Source organism: Homo sapiens, chromosome 4 (genome assembly GCF_000001405.40).
Source record: "Homo sapiens chromosome 4, GRCh38.p14 Primary Assembly".
NCBI lineage: Eukaryota > Metazoa > Chordata > Mammalia > Primates > Hominidae > Homo > Homo sapiens.
In genome coordinates this window covers 184,452,333-184,474,339 of record NC_000004.12, presented here as the reverse complement: position 1 = coordinate 184,474,339, position 22,007 = coordinate 184,452,333, and the positions used below count along the sequence as shown (strand labels likewise).

The window sequence follows — 22,007 nt, the reverse complement described above, 5'->3', positions numbered from 1 at the left end:
CTCTCGAGGGCATGTTTCTGGGGACTGTGGGGGGCCGTGTGTGTATGCGTGTCCTGATGCCTTGACACGATGTTTTGCAGACGGAAAATGCCGGGGTTCATAAATATTAATACTGATTTTTGGAGGAACAGTCGGCGCAATTATGGATCATCTGATTTTAGGGGAAGCAGGTTCTGCTGCTGTTGCTGCTGCTACTGGGGCTGCTGAGGCTGCGAGGAGGAGGAGGAGGAGGAGGTAGAGAGGGAGGAGGAGGAGGAGGTTGGTGGAGGTTTAATTTCACTTTTGGATTTGCAGATGCGGAGAGGTGGCTCCATGGACACAGACCTGCTGTGTGTGCTTCTGCGCCCCAGGTGTTGTGTGTGGGGGTGCAGGTCAGCTGGAGTCGGGCCTCATTTAAAACAAAATTGTGTGTATGTGCGTGTTTGTGTGTGCGCGCGTGTGTGTGTGTGCAGCCACCGCCGCCACCGGATCCGAAGGAGGGGAGCGGGTCCTTCTCGGTGCCCGCGGCGGCGCCTCTCCAGGCTGCCTCCAGCGTAAATAAGCAGGCACCGCTCCCCGGCCGGGAGGAGCGCCTCCAGCCACGGCCAGAGGAAACTTGCTGGGGCGCCCCGCGGCGGTCCAGGGGCTCGCCTGCCTGCCGGGCTCGGGGTCGGGTCGCGGGCGTCGGGTGCCAGCGGCCGGGGCGGGAGGGCGGGCTCGGAGCCGGGCCGGGCGCCGGGCCTGGCCGACGCGCCCTGCTTCCTGGGGGCTGGGCCGCCGCCGCCGCCGCTCAGAAGGGACGCCGCGTCCTCCTTCCCGCCGGCCAGCGCCCGGTCGGGCCCTGGGGCTTTGTCATTGCACTTGTCCCAGCGCGCCAGGGGCTCGGGCGGCGCGTCCCAGGAAGGCACCGTGCCGAGGGGTCAGCCGCCCGGGCCGCGGCCTAGCGCCGTGCGCCCCCGGGTCCCCGCAGGCGCCCCCGGCCGGCCTCGCGCGCTGGGCCTGACCCGCCTCGGCTACGGAGCGGGCGAGGTGGGGGCGGGGAGCCTCCGGGGACCGAGCGGCGCAGTGGGGGCCGGCGTCCCCTCGGGGTCCCGGGGCGCGGGCCGCGGCGGGGTGGGGACGCGAGTGCCCGCCCCGTGCCCTCCGACCCGGCTCCGGGCGCCGGGTGACATTCGCCCGCTGGCCGAACATGGTTGGTGCAAAGCCGCGGCGGCCGCCACTTCCTTTCCGCCTCGCCGGTAGGGCTCGCCCACCGAGTGAAGCCGGCCGCGGCCAATCGCGGCGCCCGCCTGCTCCCAGTGGCACGGCCTGGGGGCCGGCGTCCGCCGGGGCTGGGGAAGCCGTTCCAAGTTCCAAGGGTCGCGGGTGTAACTCATGCCCCTCCCAGCACGCGCCGGCGTCTCCCCTTGGCCCCCGGTCTGGGTGCGTTTGCCACCCTCTCCTCCTTGTTCCCTAAGAAGCGGGGGAGGGGAAGGAGGCGGGCAGCCTGGGCAGGGCGCCAGAGCCGTGGTCGGGCACCAGGTGAAACGCCCGGGTCAGTCTGTGTAGGCCGGACCCTTGGCGCTCGGCTGCGGATGTGATCCCGGGGACTGGCGGCCGAGGTAGCTCAGAAGAGCGAGGTGGCTTTCGCTCGTTTCTGACCCGCTACTGTCTGAAACTTGGGGACATATTGCCCGCCCCCTCCCTCTTCAACCTCCTCCCTCCGGTTGCTCCTTGTCCTTGGTTATGGAAGGAAAAAACTCAGTTGTTCTAAATGAGGAAAAGTGGTGCTGGCATTCGTCTTCAGCCACCGGCCTCCTTATGGCTGTGACTCGGTCTGCTTTTGATGAATGGCCAGGAGGTATGGAGGATAGTTAGATTTCCTGTTGTGGATTTTCAGGCATCACCGAGACTGCTGTCAAGCCTGCAGTCATTTACTAGTTTTCATATCGACTGCAGGTTCTCTTTGAGCAGTTCAGTTTTTGGTGCTTAAGGGCAGGTGCACAACGGGGTCTGGGGTTAGACCAGGCGGTGGATAGTCTTGATGCTAGGCAGATGCAGTTATCCCTACCAGGCCCAGAGGGTGACTCTGTTTAACTTCACCACGCACGCAGATTCAGGATTCTCTGATTTCCCCAACTTTCCTTTATTCTTCTTTTAGTGGGAGAAGGGGCAAAAGTAGAAACCTAAAAAATCCTGGGAAAAGGAGCCTTTTCTGAGGAAACTTCAGCAGATGAAATATTTAAGACTTGAACTGGGATCTCTAGGGGGAACGTTGGAACATCTATTGATTGATGTGTCAAAGTCCGGAATTTCACTGTAATTAGTGAACGATTATAACTTGTAACTTTGTCTGTTATGTAAGAAATTACATTTTGGTCTCTTAGATCCAAGAGTTCTTGTCTGTTACGATTTGTAACTGCTTGTTAAAATTAAACATTTACATATTTCATTCTCAGTGAGTTGTCATTTTTTTGTTAGAGAAAGTTCCAGTTATTTCAGATTTACTTACCTGTAAAAATGTCAGCATAATCAAAAGTAAGGATCTGTAGTCAAACTGGAAGCAAATTATGGCAAACACATGCGTGCCATGAAGTTCTGACAGCCTTATGAACAATGGTCCCACTTTTATCCCACTTTCTGAAACACTTTATTAGGCAAATAGTGCACCAGAGCAAAAGATGTTTAAACTTACTGGAAAAATAGACACTTTGGATGCTCCACATTTGATGTGCATCAATTTTCTCATGTTACCAACGATGTTATATTTTTATTCTTAACATCATCTCGTACAAAACTGTTGTTTTTAGAGCATTTTCACATAATATCCTTTTGATAGTGAAAAACCACTGTACTCTATCTAAATGGAGTATCTGGGTTATAGTTCCCTTATCTGCCTTATACCAAAAAGGGCTTAACGCAGACAAGAGAATTTATGTACACACTCAATAAATATCCTTAGAACATCTATTATAAGCCAGACACAGTGCTAGCCTCTGTATACTCAACTGACAGCGAGAAAGACAGCATCTTTACACTAGGTTGTGTTCTGGTGAGTGAGCTGACCATTAACAACAAAAAATATAGTTATTACCTTTTGGGGTTAGCTGTAAGGAGGATAATAATAATTTTTAACTATATCTCGTAAGTGTTGCTTTCATGAACAATTGAGATACTGTATATGAAAGAACATTGCATAAATTATGGCAGTCTACAAATGTGTAAGGCATTAACTTTCAAAATTATATCAGATTATTCTTAGTGTAAAAAGGCCAGATAATCATGACTGGATTAGACACTATCTTTCTCATAGAATTTCCAGCAAGGAGGGATTTTACTTCTGAGCATATATAAATAATGATAAAAGATTAAACATGGAATAACTTTTATATAAAGTATCAAAAAAATTTCACAGTGGAATCCGATATTGTCAGTGAATTTTTTCCTGTCAGAAGGAAAGTTAGGTGGTATCCATGGAGACCAAATGATATGGAAATAACAGTGATTGGACCAATGTATTTTCCCTCTTTATGTCAGATAAGAAAATCTTCCCAAGCCTCTCTGTGCTTTAGTCTGAATCTTCTTCACTCTCGTGTCAACTTCTTCATTATCTGTCATTGCAGGTGTGCACTGGGCTGATTGTAGTATTTTGCTTTTACCACCTTTTTTTTCTTTTCTTTTTTTTTTTTTTTGAGGCAGAGTCTTGCTCTGTTGCCCAGACTGGTGTACAGTGGCACACTTTCAGCTCACCGCAACCTCTGCTTCCAGGTTCAAGCAATTCCTGTGCTTCAGCTTCCCGAGTAGTTGGGACTACAGGTGTGCGCAGGCGTGCGCTACCATGCCTGGCTAATTTTTGTATTTTTAGTAGAGACGGGGTTTCAGCATGCTGGCCAGGCTTGTCTCGAACTCCTGACCTCAGGTGATCTGCCCACCTCAGCCTTCTGAAGTTCTGGGATTACAGGCATGAGCCACTGCGCCGGCCTGCTTTACCATCTTGGCTCATGTGCATTTATTGAATGCTTACTGTGTGCCCAACACTGTATATGTGACAACATACATGAAAGTAAATATTAACTGATAGCATATATTTATAACATATATTACAATACGTAATATATGCAAATAAACGAAACTGCGGTGAAATGTCAGTTATTATTAGTAAAAATTAGTTCTTCTTTTCATCTGTATGAGACATGATGTTCCTTCCTGCACAGGGGTAGGAGGTCAGGACCTTCGGTCTCTGCCTGCCCCGTCGGCCCCCTGTGTTTGGCCTGAGTGTAATCAGTGGTCGGTGCACGATGCCAGCTTCATGCACAGTGTGCTGAATTGAGGAGTGGCTCTGGTGGCGGGAGTGACTGATGGAAAAGTGGGTGAGGAAGTTCCATCAAACTTTAATTTATCAACAAAGAACAAAGAATGATGAATAACATATAGGGTCCAGATTTGAACATGAAGACAGTATTTTTTATAGAGTACCAAGGAAAACACACAAGCAGGAAACACAGCTCACAGGTCCCCTTTGTCCCTGGGACTCCGTCTGAGGCTCGTTGGATTCAGAGCAAGCAGCAGGCCTGAAGTCTTGGCATTGACCTTCAAAGATCCCCTAAAAATAATTTTCCCCCTCAGAAGCTCCATCTTATGACAAACTGTCTCTGAAACAAATTGTGTTTATTTAAGTAGACTTCATGTATCCTTTTTCTTTTATTAGAGTCAAAGTCTCACTCTGTCCACCAGGCTGGAGTGCGGTGGCTCGATCATAGCTCACTACAGGCTCAAACTCCTGGGCACAAGTGATCCTCCTGCCTCAGTCTCCTGAGTAGCTGGGACAACAGGCATGTGCCACCCCAAAGCCCGACATACATTTTTGTGTAGAGACGGGGTCTCGCTATGTTGCCCAGACTGGTCTCAAACCCTTGGCCTCAAATGATCCTCCCTCCTCAGCATCCCAAAGTGCTGGGATTATAGGCGTGAGCCACTGCACCCGGCCCTAGTGCCCATTTTTATTCCTCAGAAACACATATGACTTCCAGTCAGAACTCCTGATTGCCTTGAGAAAACTGGTATCATCAAATCTCACTGAACTCATTATAGCCAAAGGTAGAGACCCGTGGTGTGTTGGACAGGCTGGCCGGCTCCGTGTGAGAGAAACTCACCATCCCGTTAGGCTTTCTGAGGCACTGAAACTAGCCGGGACCCTCCATCAATAACTTGGTCTGCTTGGGGATCCAGGGACCCCATGCAATTATTTTAAATGAATAATTGATTTTGTTAAATGTAGTAACACATGCAATGGTTTTCTTAAATGCACACATTGTGTTATTATTTCATTTGTTTATTAAATATTTCTTGACAGCCAGCTGTGTACAAGGCTCTGCGGTGGAAGGTGCATGAACTCAGATGCCTAGAGTGGCCTTTTAGTTCTCCAATCACTTCCTCCTTTGGAAGTTTTCACTGTAAAATGTGGCTGGATAATTCTGTCATCCTCAGGAGACAGAACCTGTGTGTGTTGTGAAAATCACCTGGGGAGGGGACTTTTAGAAATTACACGGGACCTTTTAGATTTGAGACTATCTGTAGCCCCCTTTCCCTTCCTTCCCCTTCCTGCCTTGATAGCGAGCCTCTTATTCACCATTGGATCCCTGCTCCCCAGCCTCCCTCAGGTGTGTGGCCAGAGTAGAAATGGAAAGCCACTGAATCGAGGATCTCTTCCCAGGGCCAAATAGTTGATCTTTTCCTTGGCTCAGATGAAACCTCTTTCCACATTTTAAAAAGCACTTCGGACAGGGGCCTGTGGTCACTCTGTTGGCTCTGCCCACTTGCCCTTGCTTGCCATACAGAAATGGGACTCATGTTAAGTTTGTGATACATTGAATTTTCCTTTTTTTTTCTTTTTTGAGAAAGAGTCTCGATCTTGTCTCCTGGGCTGGAGGGCAGTGGTGTGATCTCGGCTCACTGCAACCTCCGCCTCCTGGGTTAAAGTGATTCTTCTGCCTCAGCCTCCCGAGTAGCTGGGATTACAGGCATATGCCACCACGCCGGGCTAATTTTTGTATTTTTAGTAGAGATGAGGTTTCGCCATGTTGGCCGGCTGGTCTCGAACTCCTGACCTCAGGTGATCTGCCCGCCTCAGCCTCCCAAAGTATTCGGATTACAGGTGTGAGCCACCGCGCCCAGCCCAGTTTTCCATTTTGAAGAGGCAAGAAGGACTTTATTTTATTTTATGTATTTGTCTCTTTGTCCAGGAAGGCCATGGAGAATTAGGCGTTTGGTTTTGTTTTGTTTCTATTTTGGTTTATAACTCCTTTATCAGTTTAGTATTCCCTTCTGATAAGCAAGAAAGAGCGGAGTTGACAAAGAATGGCTGCAGATGAGAAGCAGGTGTGTGAGGTTCCTTCTGATGATGGATTCTAAGTATTTTTATCCCAAAGGCAAGACTAATTTAGTTCAGCAAAATACCTTAATTTAGGATTTTGTGTGATAAAAGCCTGTCCTGTTTTCATTAAATGACGATTTTTGAGAATTAACTACTTGCTGTGTGATTTTCATAAATAATTTCATTTGGGCATACTTAACACTGTTGCTATCTGCTGAAGGCATTTGATACTCGCACACCTAATGCCATCAAAGGAGAGATGAGTATACACTTTAATTTGTTCTTATTGAGTGTACATTTTAATTGTTCTTATGAATGTCAGATTTTGGGAAGATCCAAAGAAGTACTCTGTAGACAGAATACGCTGTCCTGGCCCCCTAAGCTTAGAATCCTACCAATTTTCCCATTTCATGAGATTGACCTTTCAGATGAGGAGGGACTGCATACAAATTGCTTTATTTCAAGTAATATCTACCATGTTATTTTTGAAAGAATTCTTTTGTCCTTTTTACCCTAGATCTATTGGAAAAGATGAGAAAAATTACAGTGGTGATAAGAGTGTCTTAACACCTAGATATGATGGGTGTGTCGGGTGAAAGGATAGCAATGGGAGGCTGGTGGAAAGTGAGAGTTGGGGGATGGGGTGATGAGAAGGAAAATAGGTGACTAGTGACTCCTGGATTCTTGAATGGGAGAGAGTGAAGAGACAATCAGGCAGGGAGATTTTCTGTCTTTGCATAAATGTCACTGAAAGAGTTTTAGAGATCGGAGGGGTGAGGTGAAGTTGGTTAGGCAATTAGTGATAACTCAAGGACCAGTTGAAAGACTGGAGGACCCTCCACTGCTGACTGTGGGATCAGATCCTTTTATCCTGGGGATGAGAAAGGCTGATGGGAAAACTGCTAGGCAGCTGCTGACATTATACCACCAGGAAACATGAAGTTGTGAGTAGTTGTCACTTGGACATGGCTGAAGTCACCTTAGGGTACAGTGATGTTGCTGCATCACAACGTTTAGGTCATCAATGGGCCATACACATGACTGTGGCCCCATAAGATGATAATATCATACTTTTACCTTTTGCTATGTTTAGATACACAGATACTTGCCATTGTGCTACAGTGGCCTACGGTCCTCAGTACAGTAACCTGCAGTACATGTTTGCAGCCTGGAAGCCATAGGCCATACCATAAACCTGGGTGTGTAGGAGGTTATACCATGTAGGTTTGTGTAAGTACACTCTGTGATGTTCACACAATGACAAAATTGCTTAATGGTGCATTTCTCAGAATGTATAAGTGTGCTGATGTTGATGCATTGTTTGGGGATGGGGAAACTGATACTCACTATGTGAGGCCCCAAACTCAATCTAAAATTGCCTTTGGAGGCAACCACGGAAATACGGTAATAGCTCTCTTAGGCCTTCTCCCCCCGTACTGATCTTCCTTGGTACTGTTTTATTTTATTTTTAAACTCTTGAAATAATACATAATAGATGTATGTATTTTCAGGGCACATGTAATAATTTAATGCATTCATATTTGTAATTTGTAATGATAAATCAATGTAATTGTGCTATTGAGATTGTGGGAGGTAAATATGGAATCAGGGAAATAGAATGGGCTGATAATGTGTTTTCCTAAAGAACAGATGGGATTGGCCGTGCGCGGTGGCTCACGCCTGTAATCCCAGCACTTTGGGAGGCCGAGGCGGGCGGATTTCCTGAGGTCAGGAGTTCAAGATCAGCCTGGCCAACATGGTGAAACCCCGTCTCTACTAAAAATACAAAAATTAGCTGGGCATGGTGGCGGGCACCTGTAGTCCCAGCTACTCGGGAGGCTGAGGCAGGAGAATCGCTTGAACCCAGGCGGCGGAGGTTGCAGTGAGCCGAGATCGCACCAGCTTGGGTGACAAGCGTGAGACTTCATCTCAAAAAAAAAACAAAAAACAAAAAACAACCAGATGGGACAAGTTAAAACTGAACTATGAATTCCATAAGTGGGTAGTGTGGGTCACTGAGTGGGGCACTGAGTACTCCACAGTGACTGTAGTCAGGATTCTACATTGAAATAAACTTTCTGGAATTTACCTTGGTGCTATATACTTAAAGTCTTAAAAATGTTAAGCTCTCTGTTCCAGAAATTCTGCTTCTTGGAACCTACTTACGTGAAGTAACCAGAGATGGGAACAAAGATGTATGTACACGGATGTTTATTGAATTAGCTTTTGTTATGTAAAAACTTGGAAACAAGCTAAATATCCAACAATAGAGACACATTTGAACGAATTACGGCACATCCAGACAGACTATAGGTAGCTTATAAAGCTCGTGTTTTCGAGCAGCGTTTAGTGATGGGAAAATATTTATGATCTATGCTGATTGGGTGGGGAAAAAAGGATATGAAATTGTGCTTCTAGTTTTATTTTTAAAACATATGTGTATATTGGGGTATTTTTAAAAACCTGGAAGAAAACATATCTTTTTGATGGTGAAATTGTGGGTGTTTGGCTTTTTTTTTCCTTCTTGAAACATTTTTGTATTTTCCAAATTTAAAACAGCAAGCACAATTACCAATTACCCTTTTAACCAGAAAAATATTCTCAAGAGAGTGCTAATATGTCATCTCTGCCCTCACCTCTGGTCCACGTAAGGTTAGGAAAAACACACTGGGTGCTGCCGAGGAGGAGGCTGTGCATGGACGGGGCCATTCTCGAGCCTTTCTGCCTCCATGTGTGGAGCAGGCTCTAGAGCCAGGGCTTTCCTGGCCAGGCTCTTGGAAGCCTTTGTCCTCAGACAGCTGTGGCTACTTGGAGACACTTAGATTGGTGGCTTTTTGGTGAGGTTGGGACATAATGTTTTGTCAGTAACTGTGAAGGGCTTGAGATATGATTTCACTTCACAGTTAACATTCTTTATACATATGAATACTGCAGAAACACAAAACCCCTGGGTAGGAGAAAAGAGTTCCTTGTTGATATTTACAACTGGGGCAACAGCCTGAGTGACACTATTGTGTCAGGCCCCTAAACCTTGACCCTTAGGTGACACTGAAAACTAATGGAATGTACATGTGGGCTACACTTTGTTGACAGGGACAGAGCAGCTGTCCCTCTCCCGTCCCAAAAGGAGAGAGAGAGAAAAAAAAAAGAAGAAGAAAAAGGAAAACCAAACAGACAAACACCTTAGCTCCCCTGACATGGGATGAAAAGGTTCCAGGGGTCTTATCCTAACCTTTCAGAATGTGAGACACTTGTAACCTGGGGATGTCTCCAAGGTCTGTTTTTCATGCTTTTTGAAATACACATGCCTAGGGAGATACGTCTTCCCAGCACCTTGGGAACCAAGGTGAAATTATTTGGTCCTCTTGAGGAGATTAGAGGTTTTATTATCCTTTTGGAAAAGAGCATTTAATGTACACAAATGGCTACAGATCTAATTCTCATGGTAAGTGAAGTATAAAATGTTTGTAGGGGAAGTGAGAGTGAACATTCCCTGTCTTCATGTCCTGTATAGTCCCTATCTTCATGTCCTGTACATTCCCTATCTTCATATGCTATACAGTCGCTATTTTCATATCCTATATGGCTCCTATATTCATATCCCATACATTCCCTATCCTATACATTCCCTACCTTCATGTCATATATGGTCCTATCTTCAGACCTTTTATGGTCCCCATCTTCATACCCTATACATTCCTTATCTTCATGTCCTGAACAGTCTCCATCTTCATATCCTATACATTCCCTATCTTCATTTCTTAACAGTCCCCATCTTCATATCCTATATAGTCCCCATCTTCATGTCCTGTACATTCCCTATCTTCATATCTTCCTATCCTATACATTCCCTATCATCATGTCCTAAATGGTCGCTGTCTTCATATGCTGTACATTGTCTATCTTCATGTCCAATACATTCCCTATCTTCATGTCCTATACGGTCCCTATCTTCATGTCATAAACGGTCCCTATCTTCGCATCATATGCATTCCCTATCTTCGTGTCCTATACATTTTTTCCCTTTATATTCTATTCATTTCTGTGTGTTAGGAGGTGAAGGCATTTTATAGGAGTCTGGAAAGAAGCCTGAGAAGTTGTATTTTCCCCTCACACCTGCCTTTACCAGACCCCTGTTGGAGAATGACAGTAGAGCTTAATCAGAGTGTGACCTCTGACTTTTCAAACTGAAGACCTCAAATCTCCAATTTTTATCTGAAAAAATATTAGAATAGTTTCACTCTCTTTATGAACATGGAGACGTTTTTGGATTGCTACGGAAGTAGGATTGGGCATGACCATTATGAGTTCAGAGGCTGAATGCCGTACCACAGCCCATCAAAAAAAAAATATATATATATGCACGATATTGTCCAATACAAATATAATGTGAGCCACATGTATAGTTTTAATTTTCTAGTAGCCACTTAGAAAAGTAAAAAGAAGTAGGTAAAATTAATTGTAATAATATATCTCATTTAACTAATTTTATCTAAAATATTTCAGTATGTCGTTAATGTAAAAATACTAATGAGATATTTTGTATCCATTTTTCATACTGAGTATTTAAAATCCAATGTGTCCTTTGCACCTATAGCACGTCTTAATTCAGCCCAGCCACATTCCAAGGGCATGGTAGACCCATGTGGCTGGTGGCTACCATCTTGGTTGGTGCAGCATAAGGAAATCAATCAAGGTGTGAAGACAATACAGGGGAAAGTTGTAGTACAGTCCTGAAAGGACTGAAGGAAAGTAGAGTTGGAGTGGTTATTTTGGTCATAACTGTATGAATCTCCCTGTGGCTCTCCCCACAAACCATACCTGATCTCTTCAGCCTAAAACAATGAAATGCTCTGAATTTCTATAGAAGCAGCATACTCTACATCCCATTCCTAGGGTAGTTAGCTATCTGCATCTTGATGAGATGAATGTTTCATTCTAGACTCTTGAACTGTTATGAAAATCTTAGATTATTTGAATTTTTCCATTTGTATCACCTATGTGGTAAGTTATTTGAGAGCCAGGATCCAGTCCGATTTATTTGCATTCCTCACCGGTGTTTGACACCTTTAAGACCTAGATAAATATTAGTTTATTTGATTTTCAGCTGTAAAGCAAAGGTTAGCTTGAAAGGCTGAATTCCAGCTCAGGAAGGGTGGCACAGATCTAGTTTGTACTAGAAACCTAATGGTATATGAATTGAACACATAAACATTAGGATTTGTCACTTTGCATTAGGATTTGTTACTTTGTATTAGGGGTTCCACACCCAGAAGGTGAAAAATTGTTCGGTTTTTCTCCTTTGTATCCAGACCTTTAAAAAATATTATCAGTTTCTTCTTTTGATGTTTAAGTTCCAATGATGATCCTAATACTTTCTTGTAGGGATAAATAAGCTATATTTGGTGATGACCTGAAGATAAACATTTGGAAGCTGCTACTTTTTCCATGGGTTCTTTGTTAACAATAACTTTGTTATTAACAAACACAGCCCACAACATCTAGGCGATGAAATTCTTTTGAAATCAAGTATAGTATTTTACAGTTGCCTTCATTTGTTCTCTTTGACTGTAATTGTTGGGTTGAAGCAACAGACTTATCCAGAGAGCCAAGGCAATTTATTTTTACTGAAGACTACCTAAGAACTGCTTAGGTAGCTTTTCTCTGCAAGATTAAATGCGACCTTCATGGAATCATGTTAGCAGGGCCAGCAGCTAGAAAAATAAAGACTAAACCAAACCTTCAGCAGCGAAATTCCCAGCTGCTCAGTGGCTCAGAGCTTTCCTGATTGCTTTCTTCCAATGAAAACACTGTAGATTAGTTTTAAGTGAATTCTAGTAGGTTTGGGGATTTGCAACTGACAGAAGAACAGCAAAGTGTAATCTCACTTTAAAATAATAGTCCTGAAGGTAAATCTCTATTGGCTCTTTCTTAGGATGCTGGGATTTTTGTTCATATGGGAAAACTTAACTCATACACACTGTTTAGCTGACCTTTGAAGGTAAGGCCCTAGAAGGCAGACGGAGGCTGGACACCTGGGGATGTGGGGCAGGACTGCTGCTCCTCTTTCTTCTCTCCATTGTAGGCGGGTGGAAACTTGGGAAGCCTGCGAGGAAGGTCCCTGTAGGGAATGTAGCTGACCCATTTTTTCCACTTTTGGGTGTGGTCATCCTGACTATTGGTGAAGTCAGGGTGAATTGAAAATGTTACAGGAGAGGATTTACTTAACTTACAGGTGCTTTTAATGCATTGCGATTTTTGTTTTTCTTGAAAGTCCTCGCAGTTTGGGAGATGGGGGTTGGGGGTTGGGGGGCGGTGGGGGGGCGGGTAGAGGAGAGTGCTCAGCTGAAACCGTTGACTATTTTGATCATTCATCCATTCAGTCATTTATTTAGCAGGTGTTTATTCAGTGCTAACGATATGTAGAGGGAGGTATAAAACGAAAGAAAATTATCTTCGATTTGAGGTAGCCAGGTAGGTAGATGGTCTGCATTCCTTACAGTTAGGAGCCTAATTCTTCCAGATAGAGAAAACACAATTAGGCAAGTAAGATGACAGTTCCAGAAACGATTTTACTTATCTGTGAATCCCTTTTATAGTTCTTCCATGGGCCCTGTGGGGTTGTTTCAGATTGTAGGGGAAGCCGCAGTGCTAATGTGACAGATTTTTTTGCCAAGTGTATACATTTTATTTTTTTTAAAACAGACTCTTAATAGATTGTAAAATAGGCATAGAACAACATATTGTTTTGTTGTTCTTTCTGTTTTTCCACAATTCTCCCACATTTAGTTTGGAACATGGAACTATGGTCTGGTGTCATTAAGGAAAACTGATGGGGTTAAATCCTGATAATTATCTCCCCTCTCTACTTACCCTTCCCTTGTGGGGAGACACTGTAACCAGCAGAGCTGCAGAATCAGTACTCCTGCCCCCCGCGGTAAAGTGAAGGAAGCTGATGAAAGATATCCAGGAACTCTTGGCACTATTTTTGAAATTTTTATGTGGATTGGAAATAATTTCAAAATAAAAAGGTTTTTTTAAGGCTTCCCATTAGTGCTCTAGAGTTACTGTTGCTTATTTAAAATAACAGCCTAATAGAGTGTATTTGTAAGTTCCTTTGTTTGCTTCCCCACGTCGATCTAAAAGGGATTTTATGTAGCTCTTTTTCTACGTAGGTCCTACTTTAGATATCATTTAGTACCCTCTCCTCACAGGGCTTGAGAAGACATTGCCTTGAAGGGGAAACTGGTCCTTACTTCATTTTGAAAATGCTTCCTTTTCTCTCTTCGCGTGTGTGTGTGTGCGTGTGCATGTGTGTGTGTGCGTGCATGTGTGTGTGTGTGCGCGTGCATGTGTGTGTGTGTGTGCGTGCATGCGTGTGTGTGTGTTTGGCTATAGTGAATACTTTAAGTTGCCTGAAATTAAGGAATAATTATCATCCATAAAAGCACTGAAGGAAACAGTGGCAGCAAGTAGGGAATTCATAAATGCATGTTGAAGCATTCTTTTTAAAACTGTGGTAAAATTTACAAAACAAAATTTACCATTACAATCATCTTAAAGTGTATAATTTGGTGACGTTAATTACATTCACAAGGTTGCCTAAGCATCACCACCATCCATCTCCAGAACTTTTTCAGTATCTGGATCAGAATCTCTATACCCATTAAACAATAACTGCTTCCCGCAGCCCCTGGCAGCCAGCATTCTACTTTCTGTCTGTGAATCTGACCACTCGAGATGTCTCATGTAAGTGGAATCATACAGTCTTTGTCTTTTTGTGTCTGGCTTATTTTGCTTAGCAGAATGTTTTCCAGGTCCACCCATGTTGTAGCATGCATCAGAGCTTCATTCCTCTGTAAGACTGAGTAATATTCCTAGATTGTGTTCGTCCATTCATCTGTTGGTAGATACTGGGATTCTTATTAATTTGGCTATTGTGAATAAGGCTGCTGTGATCATTGGTATAAAAGTATCTGTTTGAGTCCCTGCTTTCAGTTATTTCAATTCTGTAGAATGGCTGGGTCATACGGTAATCCTATGTTTAACATTTGAAGAACCACCAAATTGTTTTCCATAGCTGTACCATTTTGCATCCCCATCAGCAATGCACACCGGTTCCAGCTTCTCCACACCTTTTACCAACATTTGTTATTATTATCTTTTTGTTTTGATAGGGCCACCCTAATAGGTATGAAGTGGTAGCTCACGATGGTTTTGATTTGCATTTCCCTGGTAATTAATGATGCTGAGCATCACTTCATGTGCTCCTAGCCATTTGTATATCTTCTTAGGAGGAATGTCTATTCAAGGGCTTTCTTCATTTTTGATTTTGTTGTTGTTGAGCTGTAGGTTTGAGTCATTCATTTTGTGGTTTTGAAAATGACACACTAGTAAGTCTGAAAAACTAAGCTTCTCCCCATTACAGTATATGTAGCATGTGGCAAAAAGTTCTGTTTTAGAATTTTGAGATGCTGTGAAGCTGATGAAGCACACTTTGAGGAATTAACTTAGGCTGGAGTGAAGTAAATCAGAGCGCATGGGTAAGTGAGAATCAGATAGAATCTCGCACCATGCTGGAATTGGGAGTTTCTGTAGCAACGATTGCCTGCCCCTTCCCTTCATTTTTTCAGCTGGAGAAATCAAGTAACCTGCTCAGTGTATTGTAGCCAGGTTAAGTACTTAGTATGTTTTGTTGAACTGTGCAGTAAATAATTATTTTTTTTCTGTTGTATTTTGAATCCAGAAATGTCTTGTGAGAGGAGAAATAGCAGTGCTTGAATATGGTAGTGGATTTATCCTCGCGGCTGCCCTTGTGGTAGCCTCTCTGCTTGGGACTCGGATATGGTAGTGAATTTATCATTGCGGCTGCTCTGTCTGCTTGGGACTCATGAAAAAAGCCTTAGAGTTCTTCACTTCTGTGGTATTTCAGGATAAAGATTAGTAAAAACAGCCTCAGAGTAACATTTGGGGACTTAAGAATTTAAATATAATCCATTCAATCATGGTTCAATAGTATTACTGAGTGGATGAAAAAAAAATATTGCCGTAATAACAGATCTGTTAAGTAAAATGGATAAAAGCATTTGTGTATTTATTGTGAATTGTTGACAGCAGGAGAAGCCATTCATTTGTTCTTACAAGAGCCATAGTAGATAAAGAAATTCAGTGAAATATCACAACTGTATGGAAGCAAATTCATTGTTGGTTTAGTTTTATGTCCTGCGGAAATTTTTCGTTTTGCTGAATCCTTTTGAAGAGTTGAACTTTATTGAAAACTATAGCCTGGCAAGGTCATGTGTGGATTATAACTGAGTTGTAAATAATTGGAAGAAGATGCATAATATATGTGAGAAACAGAGAAATAATATATGTGTTGTGAAGCAGAGTGGTAAGAGGAGTTGCAAAAATTTTTATTCTCTTCAGGCTTGGGGCAACGATTTTAAAAATCCTTAAAATTAGTTTTAAGTACTGTGAAAACAAACATGATAATGATGAAATTAAATTGAAGACTCTCTTCTACAAACAAATATCTTAAATAAAACCCTCAGAGGAAGTCATTCCTTCAGCAGACAATTTTGAACAGCTGTGTGTGAAGCCCTATGCTGCGAAGATGTAAGGTTGAAAATTTCAGATCCATGCTCTCAAAGAGCTTATCATTTGGTTAGAGAGACAAGCAGGTAAATAACCATTCCTGGTCATGAAAAGAACGAAAGATGGGCTTCATGGAAGCACAGCAAGCCAAAGGCTAAGGGAGAGAAGAGGAAGAAGCAGTATCTTCTTTTTATTCTTTTTAATTTACTGGAGCTACCCATCATGAACTAAGAATTACGTCTTTGACCAGAGAAACTGGGGCGTGCCTCACCACTGACTTCTGACTGGCCGGAAGGAGGGAGGCAATGTCATCTGGTGGCCAGTGGGTGAGCAGGGCATTTTTGGTTGAAAGAACAGCAAGAGCAAAGACATGAAGGGTTGACAGTTTCTTCCGTTCCTGGTGCATGGACCACTCTCCAGGGTGGCTGGAACAAACAGATGAAGGAGGGAGTGTCAGAGCCAGTTCCTGGTGGCCACAAATATCTCACTCAGTGCATGTGTTCCTGTTTCCCAGTAAGGAAGGGTTTTGTTCCGAGGATACAGCCAGCTTTTTTCTTTTTTTTTTGGAAGGTTTTTGAGGATTTGGAACATTTTCCCCTGTGCATTTCAGAAAATGATAGCTAATGACTGTTAGCAGCAGGGCGTGTCGCAGCTGTGCACCTGCAGCGTTGGAGAGGAGCTCTGAGGCGTGTGCATTTGTAGTCTGCGGTCCATTGCGGGAAGGACTGGGTTGTGCCTTTGATAATAGCCAGGCCTGTCTTTGAGGTGCTTTTATATAAGTTTCTAAGAGGAAATGATGAATAGGTACAAAAATATTTTTTGTACTCTCTTTTGTTTGTTTTGAATTGGTTTGTAAAGAGAGTGATTATAGTAAGTTTATAATCCTCAAGTGAGGAGGAATTAAAGACAGTTGGCTCAAATTCAGGTAAGAAACCCAAGTTAGAGAATCAAGGATAATGGCAAGACCCCCAGAAACAATGCCTTCATAGGGCAGAAGTTAGGACAGGGCTTCCTATCCGCCCAGAGTGTCCCCAGGTCTTCCGAGTGACGTCACGCCGGGCCACAGAAGGGCTGGGCGAACACCTCAGGTGCAAACCTTAGCCAGTGGGACTCAGGAACTGGAGGGAGCCCCAGAGCTGCCCGTGCCATATTGAGGCTTCTTCCCTGCATTGGGACCACATGGATGATCCAGGAAAATTCCCCTCTGTCAAGGTCAACAGACAACCTTTAAATCACCTGCCTCCTTAATTCCCATTTGTCACATAACACAGTCTATTCACAGGTCGCAGAGGCTAGCGTGTGGGATACTTGGGAGGCATTATTCCACCTGTATCATGTGTTAACCAAACCACCTCACACTCTTCATCCGACGCAGCTACAGAGTGTTTGGGGAGATGTGGCCATCAGGTGCCGAGGCCCTCACAGCTGGGGTGACCGGCTGCCTTGATGGCATTGACTGGATGTTTGCCGGACTCTTCACTTCCCTGGGGCGATAAATTGGAAGATGTTATTCAAAGGCCTAGATATTCCTGTGGTTTATTTCAGTATTTCACCGTCTCCACTGTATTATCACTAACTGCCGTGTTTGAACCGGTTGTATGTTGTGGAGGGCCGAGCCACAGGACTCGCGTAGACTCGGTACCCTCAGTACGTGTTGGCTGAATTCAGTTGCAGTGACTGACTTGGTCCTCCAATTGTTATTTGCTGTCCAGACACAGAGGCGCCTGCAGGACATTGGTGCCCCTGGGCTCAGGCACCCGGTTTCCCGGTAGGGAGGGCGGACCGGGCCGCAGGAAAGCGCGTCAGCCGGGTGTGTGCCCTGGCTGGACCGAGGGGTTTCCTCCGCTCAGTCGGCAGGGACCCTCGCTGAGGTGCGAGGACACATGGCTGACTCTGAACTCGCAGCTTCAGGGAAACCTTCCAGCAGTTTCTCCACCGCGGCTCTCACGTTCCCCGTGGCGCAGCTTCTTCGTATCACCAATGGCTCGGACACGCGGGCGCCACCCCTCTCTTGCCCTTGTCGTTGTTCTTCCTTTTGTTGGGAATGTTCTTTCTTCCCTTCCACCTGAGGATCCCTTGGCTTCCAGGCCCAGTTCAGATGCCCCCTCTTCTAGGAAGCCTTCCAGAGTCCTCTCTTCTGGGTTTTTACATAAAATATTAAAACTTCCCCATAGGCCTTTGAAAAAAATTCATCTATTTGAAGTGCAGAGTCACATTTTTGTGAGGCGAATGAACTAATGGGGGTGAGTCTGATGCAGAGAGGGAACTCGAACCCAGTGTGTCAGACGCCCGTGATCAGTGTGATCAGTGATGGTGGGTGTGCGGCCGCAGGGCAGGCACCCACTCCGGTGTGCTCTTCCTGGCAGGCTTCGAGTCTCACCTCCGGGACACCACGTCTTGCTTGAAAGCTTGCTTTAACACTGACGTGCCCACCTTCGTCTTTGCAGGGTAAGTCCTTTGAGGCCAGAGATCATGTCTTCATCATCTTTGTATACTCCACAGAGCTTTAGATAATGCTTGGCACACAGCGATTTTCATGCGGTTGGCTCGGGGTAAGGTTTTTGGAATGAAAAGTTGAACCAACGTAATTCAAAAGTGTATTAACATCCTTAGCCGGATTCACCCGGAAAATGGCATGTAAATAGTAAAATTTTTTTTTAGGTTGCATGCTTTTTGTAGTCATTTTATTTCCTTTGCTTATCATTTGTTCATAAGTTTATCCATCACAACGTATAGTTAATATCATCCGCCTTATCCTCCTCAGCCCTTGCCCTCAGTGAGTTTTCCAGGAGGGATTCATCCACTTTCTTATCAATGAGTGATTACTACATGTCATTATGTGCAAGCTACTGTGCTCGGTATTTTGGGATGAGTGAGATGGGACTCCTCCTCACAGGACTTTATACAGAGATAAGCCCGTTGCCAAGTACCTGAAGCTGTAAGCTTTGGTTGCATCAGAAGGTGGAAGGAGGCTGAGTGCGGTGGCTCATGCCTGTAATCCCAGCGCTTTGGGAGGCTGAGATGGGAGGATCACTTGAGGCCAGGAGGTTGAGACCAGCCTGGGCAACATGGGGAGACGCCTTTCTCTACAAAAAAAAAAAAAAAAAAAAAAAGAAGAAGAAGGAAGGGAGGGGGAGGGGAGGGAGAGGGAGGGAAGGGGGAGGGGAGGGGAGGAAGAAGAAAGGAATCAGTGGGATAAGAGGTTAGAAGAAGAAGGTGGAGGGAATCAGTGGGAACAAGAGGTTAGAAAGGTGGGATGGGGATGAATTATGGTGGCCAGGAGTCCAGATTTTATTCAATGGGCGTTGTGGAACCATGGAAGGATTTTCTGCAAGGTCAGGAGCCATTTGGGGAGATTAATCTGGCCAAGAATGTGCAGGGTGGAGAATATGCTTCTATTACAGAAGGTGGACCCTGGACATCGTCTTGCTCCTTGTGGAACACTGACTTAGTCACTGCAGTTAGGTGGAGCACGGGCCCTACTGTTTGGAATTTCTTTGGGGAAGTCTTAGGGGAGACCAAGGAAATCTCACCTCATACTTTTCCTCCTAACATAAACTAGCCTTTATCTGTTTCTTCTCACGGTAGCTCTGCTAAGTTGCTATTAAGATCTCTGTTTAGTGATGAGGAAACTATGGCTTGGCGAAGTTGAAGGTTGTGAGTGGTGAGGTTCCAGTTCAGGTGTGCTTGACGCCAAATCTGAGCTCCCACTACCATATTATGCTTTAACAAGGAGAGGGAAAGAAAAGAAATCATTGTGGTCCTGGGAGGGGTTGGCAGAGAGGGGAAATAGTGACCATCCAATGGATGCCAGATCCGACCCTCCCACCTCTGGCTACCATTCGGAAACTGGTGAGAGGCAGTAGGTATCTTCCAAAAATATTTGAAGACAGTTCTGCAGCTTGCAGAGGAGACATGGATTCTTGCTTCGGAGGTATTCCTGTACTTAGAGTGGTAGCAATTTTGGCTCTTTTTCCAGTTGGAATTCATTGGTAATTGGGATGGTTTATCCCAGGAATAGAATCAAACTAGCGGAAACTGTAGTGCGTAAGTTTATAGTTTGTGTGCTGGAGCTTGACCAGATTTGAACATAAAGAGTTAAATTGGATGTCTCCATAATAATTAATAATAATAACACCAAGAATAGCTGGTAACCTTTATGGAGAGCTCCCTGGCAGAGGGGACAGCTTAAAGGAAATCCTCAAAGGAAAAGTGGCAGCAAGAAGCAGATCCTGAGGGCCAGCCTGTGGATGTGGAGTGTGGGAGGAAATCATTTACTCTCATCCAGGGGAAAAGATAGTGCCCTTCAAATCAACCTTTCAGAACAGGTTATTTTCAGGCAACTGGTTTTTGGGAAGGCGTTGGTTTTCAAGGTAGTCTGCTAGTGATGTGATTGAAGTCAGAAAGCAGCAATTTTGTTGCTCTATGCAAATAGGTTTTCTTAGGTTCCAGTTCCAGTATGCTGGCTCTTTGAGTTTCTGTTATTTGACTTTTCACAAATACTGACCACATTGACATCTCCTCTCTCTTGTCCCCTTGTCTTTTCTGTGTTCCTGAAGGGGCAAAACACACCTTTTGAGGTCTGTGGAGCTCAAAAATGAAGTCAAAGGTGACTGGGTGACACAAACAGCTCAGGTAATTCAGGTCCTGCCGTTTCTGCCACGCTCCTCCTCCTCAAGCCAGCATGGCTCAGTTATCCACTCTGATGTCTACCCTTTTCCCACGTGCCTCCTCTTATTGAACTTGTTCTCTATACTGTTACGTCTCCAGTGTCTGCATCAGAGGACTGAGAGGTCTTTTCCGGCTTGCATACTGCAGGCTGACACAGTCTTAAAGGAACTTCCTACTGCACTCTGAGGAGGAGGAGCTGTGCCTTCTCGAGGTCATGTTACTTCTCCTGTACTGCAAAGGCAGTGCTCAGAGGACGTGCTGATTAAGGGAAATATAGGATCACTTCTTTTCCCGTTTTCCATATGGAAAGAAGCTTTGAAAATGCAGTATGTGCTCGAGTCCATATGCTTTGAAATCTGTGCATGATTCTTGCTTTGCTGAATTGCAGAGGCTGATGCCATCTAGATGCTGCGACCCAGGGCCAAACACACCTAAGGGTCCCAGCATGAGTTTCAATTTATAAAATACTTTTAAAAGTCAGTCTACCCTTTTAGGTCTTAATGGCCTTGCATAAATTTTTCTAGAAAATGCTCTTTAAAAAAATGATGGAGTAAAAAATACTCTTAGATTTTCATAATTTAAATGTATCTGGAAGGTAATTTATCTGCAATTCACAGTTTTCTCATGTTGTCTGTTTTTTACAGAAAAGAATATTACATGTGTATCTGCATCAGATTTCAAGATCATTGTAGTTTTTTCTTTTTTTAATTTTAAGACAGCATGTTTCACACATGATTAGATTACTTGGGAAGCATTCCTAGAAGTGACATGGCTGGGTCCAAGGGTGTAGTTTTAAAATTTTTAATACCTTGGCCAAGCTGCTGTTTGGAAATTTTGTACCTATTTTATACTCCCATAGTGCATGTAAGATGCAAAACACTATTCTAGATATTTTACATGTTTATTTGCTTTTTTCTTCTCTCTCTATTTCTTCTTTCTTTCTTTCCCTTTTTTTTTTTTTTTTTTTTTTTTTGAGACAGGGTCCTGCTCTGTTGCTCATGCTGGGGTGTAGTGGCATGATCATAGCTCACTGCAGCCTCTACCTCCTGGGCTCAAATGAACCTCCTGCTTCGGCCTCCCAAAGTGCTGGGATTACAGGTGTGAGCCACCGCATTGCCTTATTTTACATGCTTCTTCATTTAATCCTCACAAAGCCTGATGAGAACAGAGAAGGTCAGTAACCTGCCCAAAGTCACAGCTAAATGATAGAGCTGGGGGCGAAAGCAGGCAGTGCCGCAGAGCTCCACGGTCCATGTTGTTGCTGCGCCCGGTCTGCACTTCCATGGCAGCCGGCATGAGAACATGAGCAAAGAGAGGCTGTGATGAGACTCCTTCCTTCTGGGAGCCTCTGGATATGGCTATGGCCTCGTCTTTCACTCTGCTTCTTGATTCATCAGGTAGGACAGGTGCA

The 22,007-nt window shown here is 44.4% G+C and overlaps 1 protein-coding gene across 1 annotated transcript in view, besides 5 other annotated features; it reads left to right on the top strand.

Moving 5' to 3' along the window:
• IRF2 (interferon regulatory factor 2) overlaps nucleotides 1–22,007 on the top strand; it is an 86,822-nt gene that overhangs the window by 211 nt on the left and 64,604 nt on the right. The window lies entirely within an intron of this gene.
• Nucleotides 582–631: a silencer, noted in NCBI's record as "silent region_15838". NCBI's record gives its function as "represses an Ori minimal core promoter by ATAC-STARR-seq in GM12878 lymphoblastoid cells {active_cell/tissue: GM12878}" and the evidence as "EXISTENCE:reporter gene assay evidence [ECO:0000049][PMID:35858748]".
• Nucleotides 712–1,401: a silencer, noted in NCBI's record as "silent region_15837". NCBI's record gives its function as "represses an Ori minimal core promoter by ATAC-STARR-seq in GM12878 lymphoblastoid cells {active_cell/tissue: GM12878}" and the evidence as "EXISTENCE:reporter gene assay evidence [ECO:0000049][PMID:35858748]".
• Nucleotides 1,462–1,531: a silencer, noted in NCBI's record as "silent region_15836". NCBI's record gives its function as "represses an Ori minimal core promoter by ATAC-STARR-seq in GM12878 lymphoblastoid cells {active_cell/tissue: GM12878}" and the evidence as "EXISTENCE:reporter gene assay evidence [ECO:0000049][PMID:35858748]".
• Nucleotides 16,471–16,530: an enhancer, noted in NCBI's record as "active region_22220". NCBI's record gives its function as "activates an Ori minimal core promoter by ATAC-STARR-seq in GM12878 lymphoblastoid cells {active_cell/tissue: GM12878}" and the evidence as "EXISTENCE:reporter gene assay evidence [ECO:0000049][PMID:35858748]".
• Nucleotides 20,775–20,834: an enhancer, noted in NCBI's record as "active region_22219". NCBI's record gives its function as "activates an Ori minimal core promoter by ATAC-STARR-seq in GM12878 lymphoblastoid cells {active_cell/tissue: GM12878}" and the evidence as "EXISTENCE:reporter gene assay evidence [ECO:0000049][PMID:35858748]".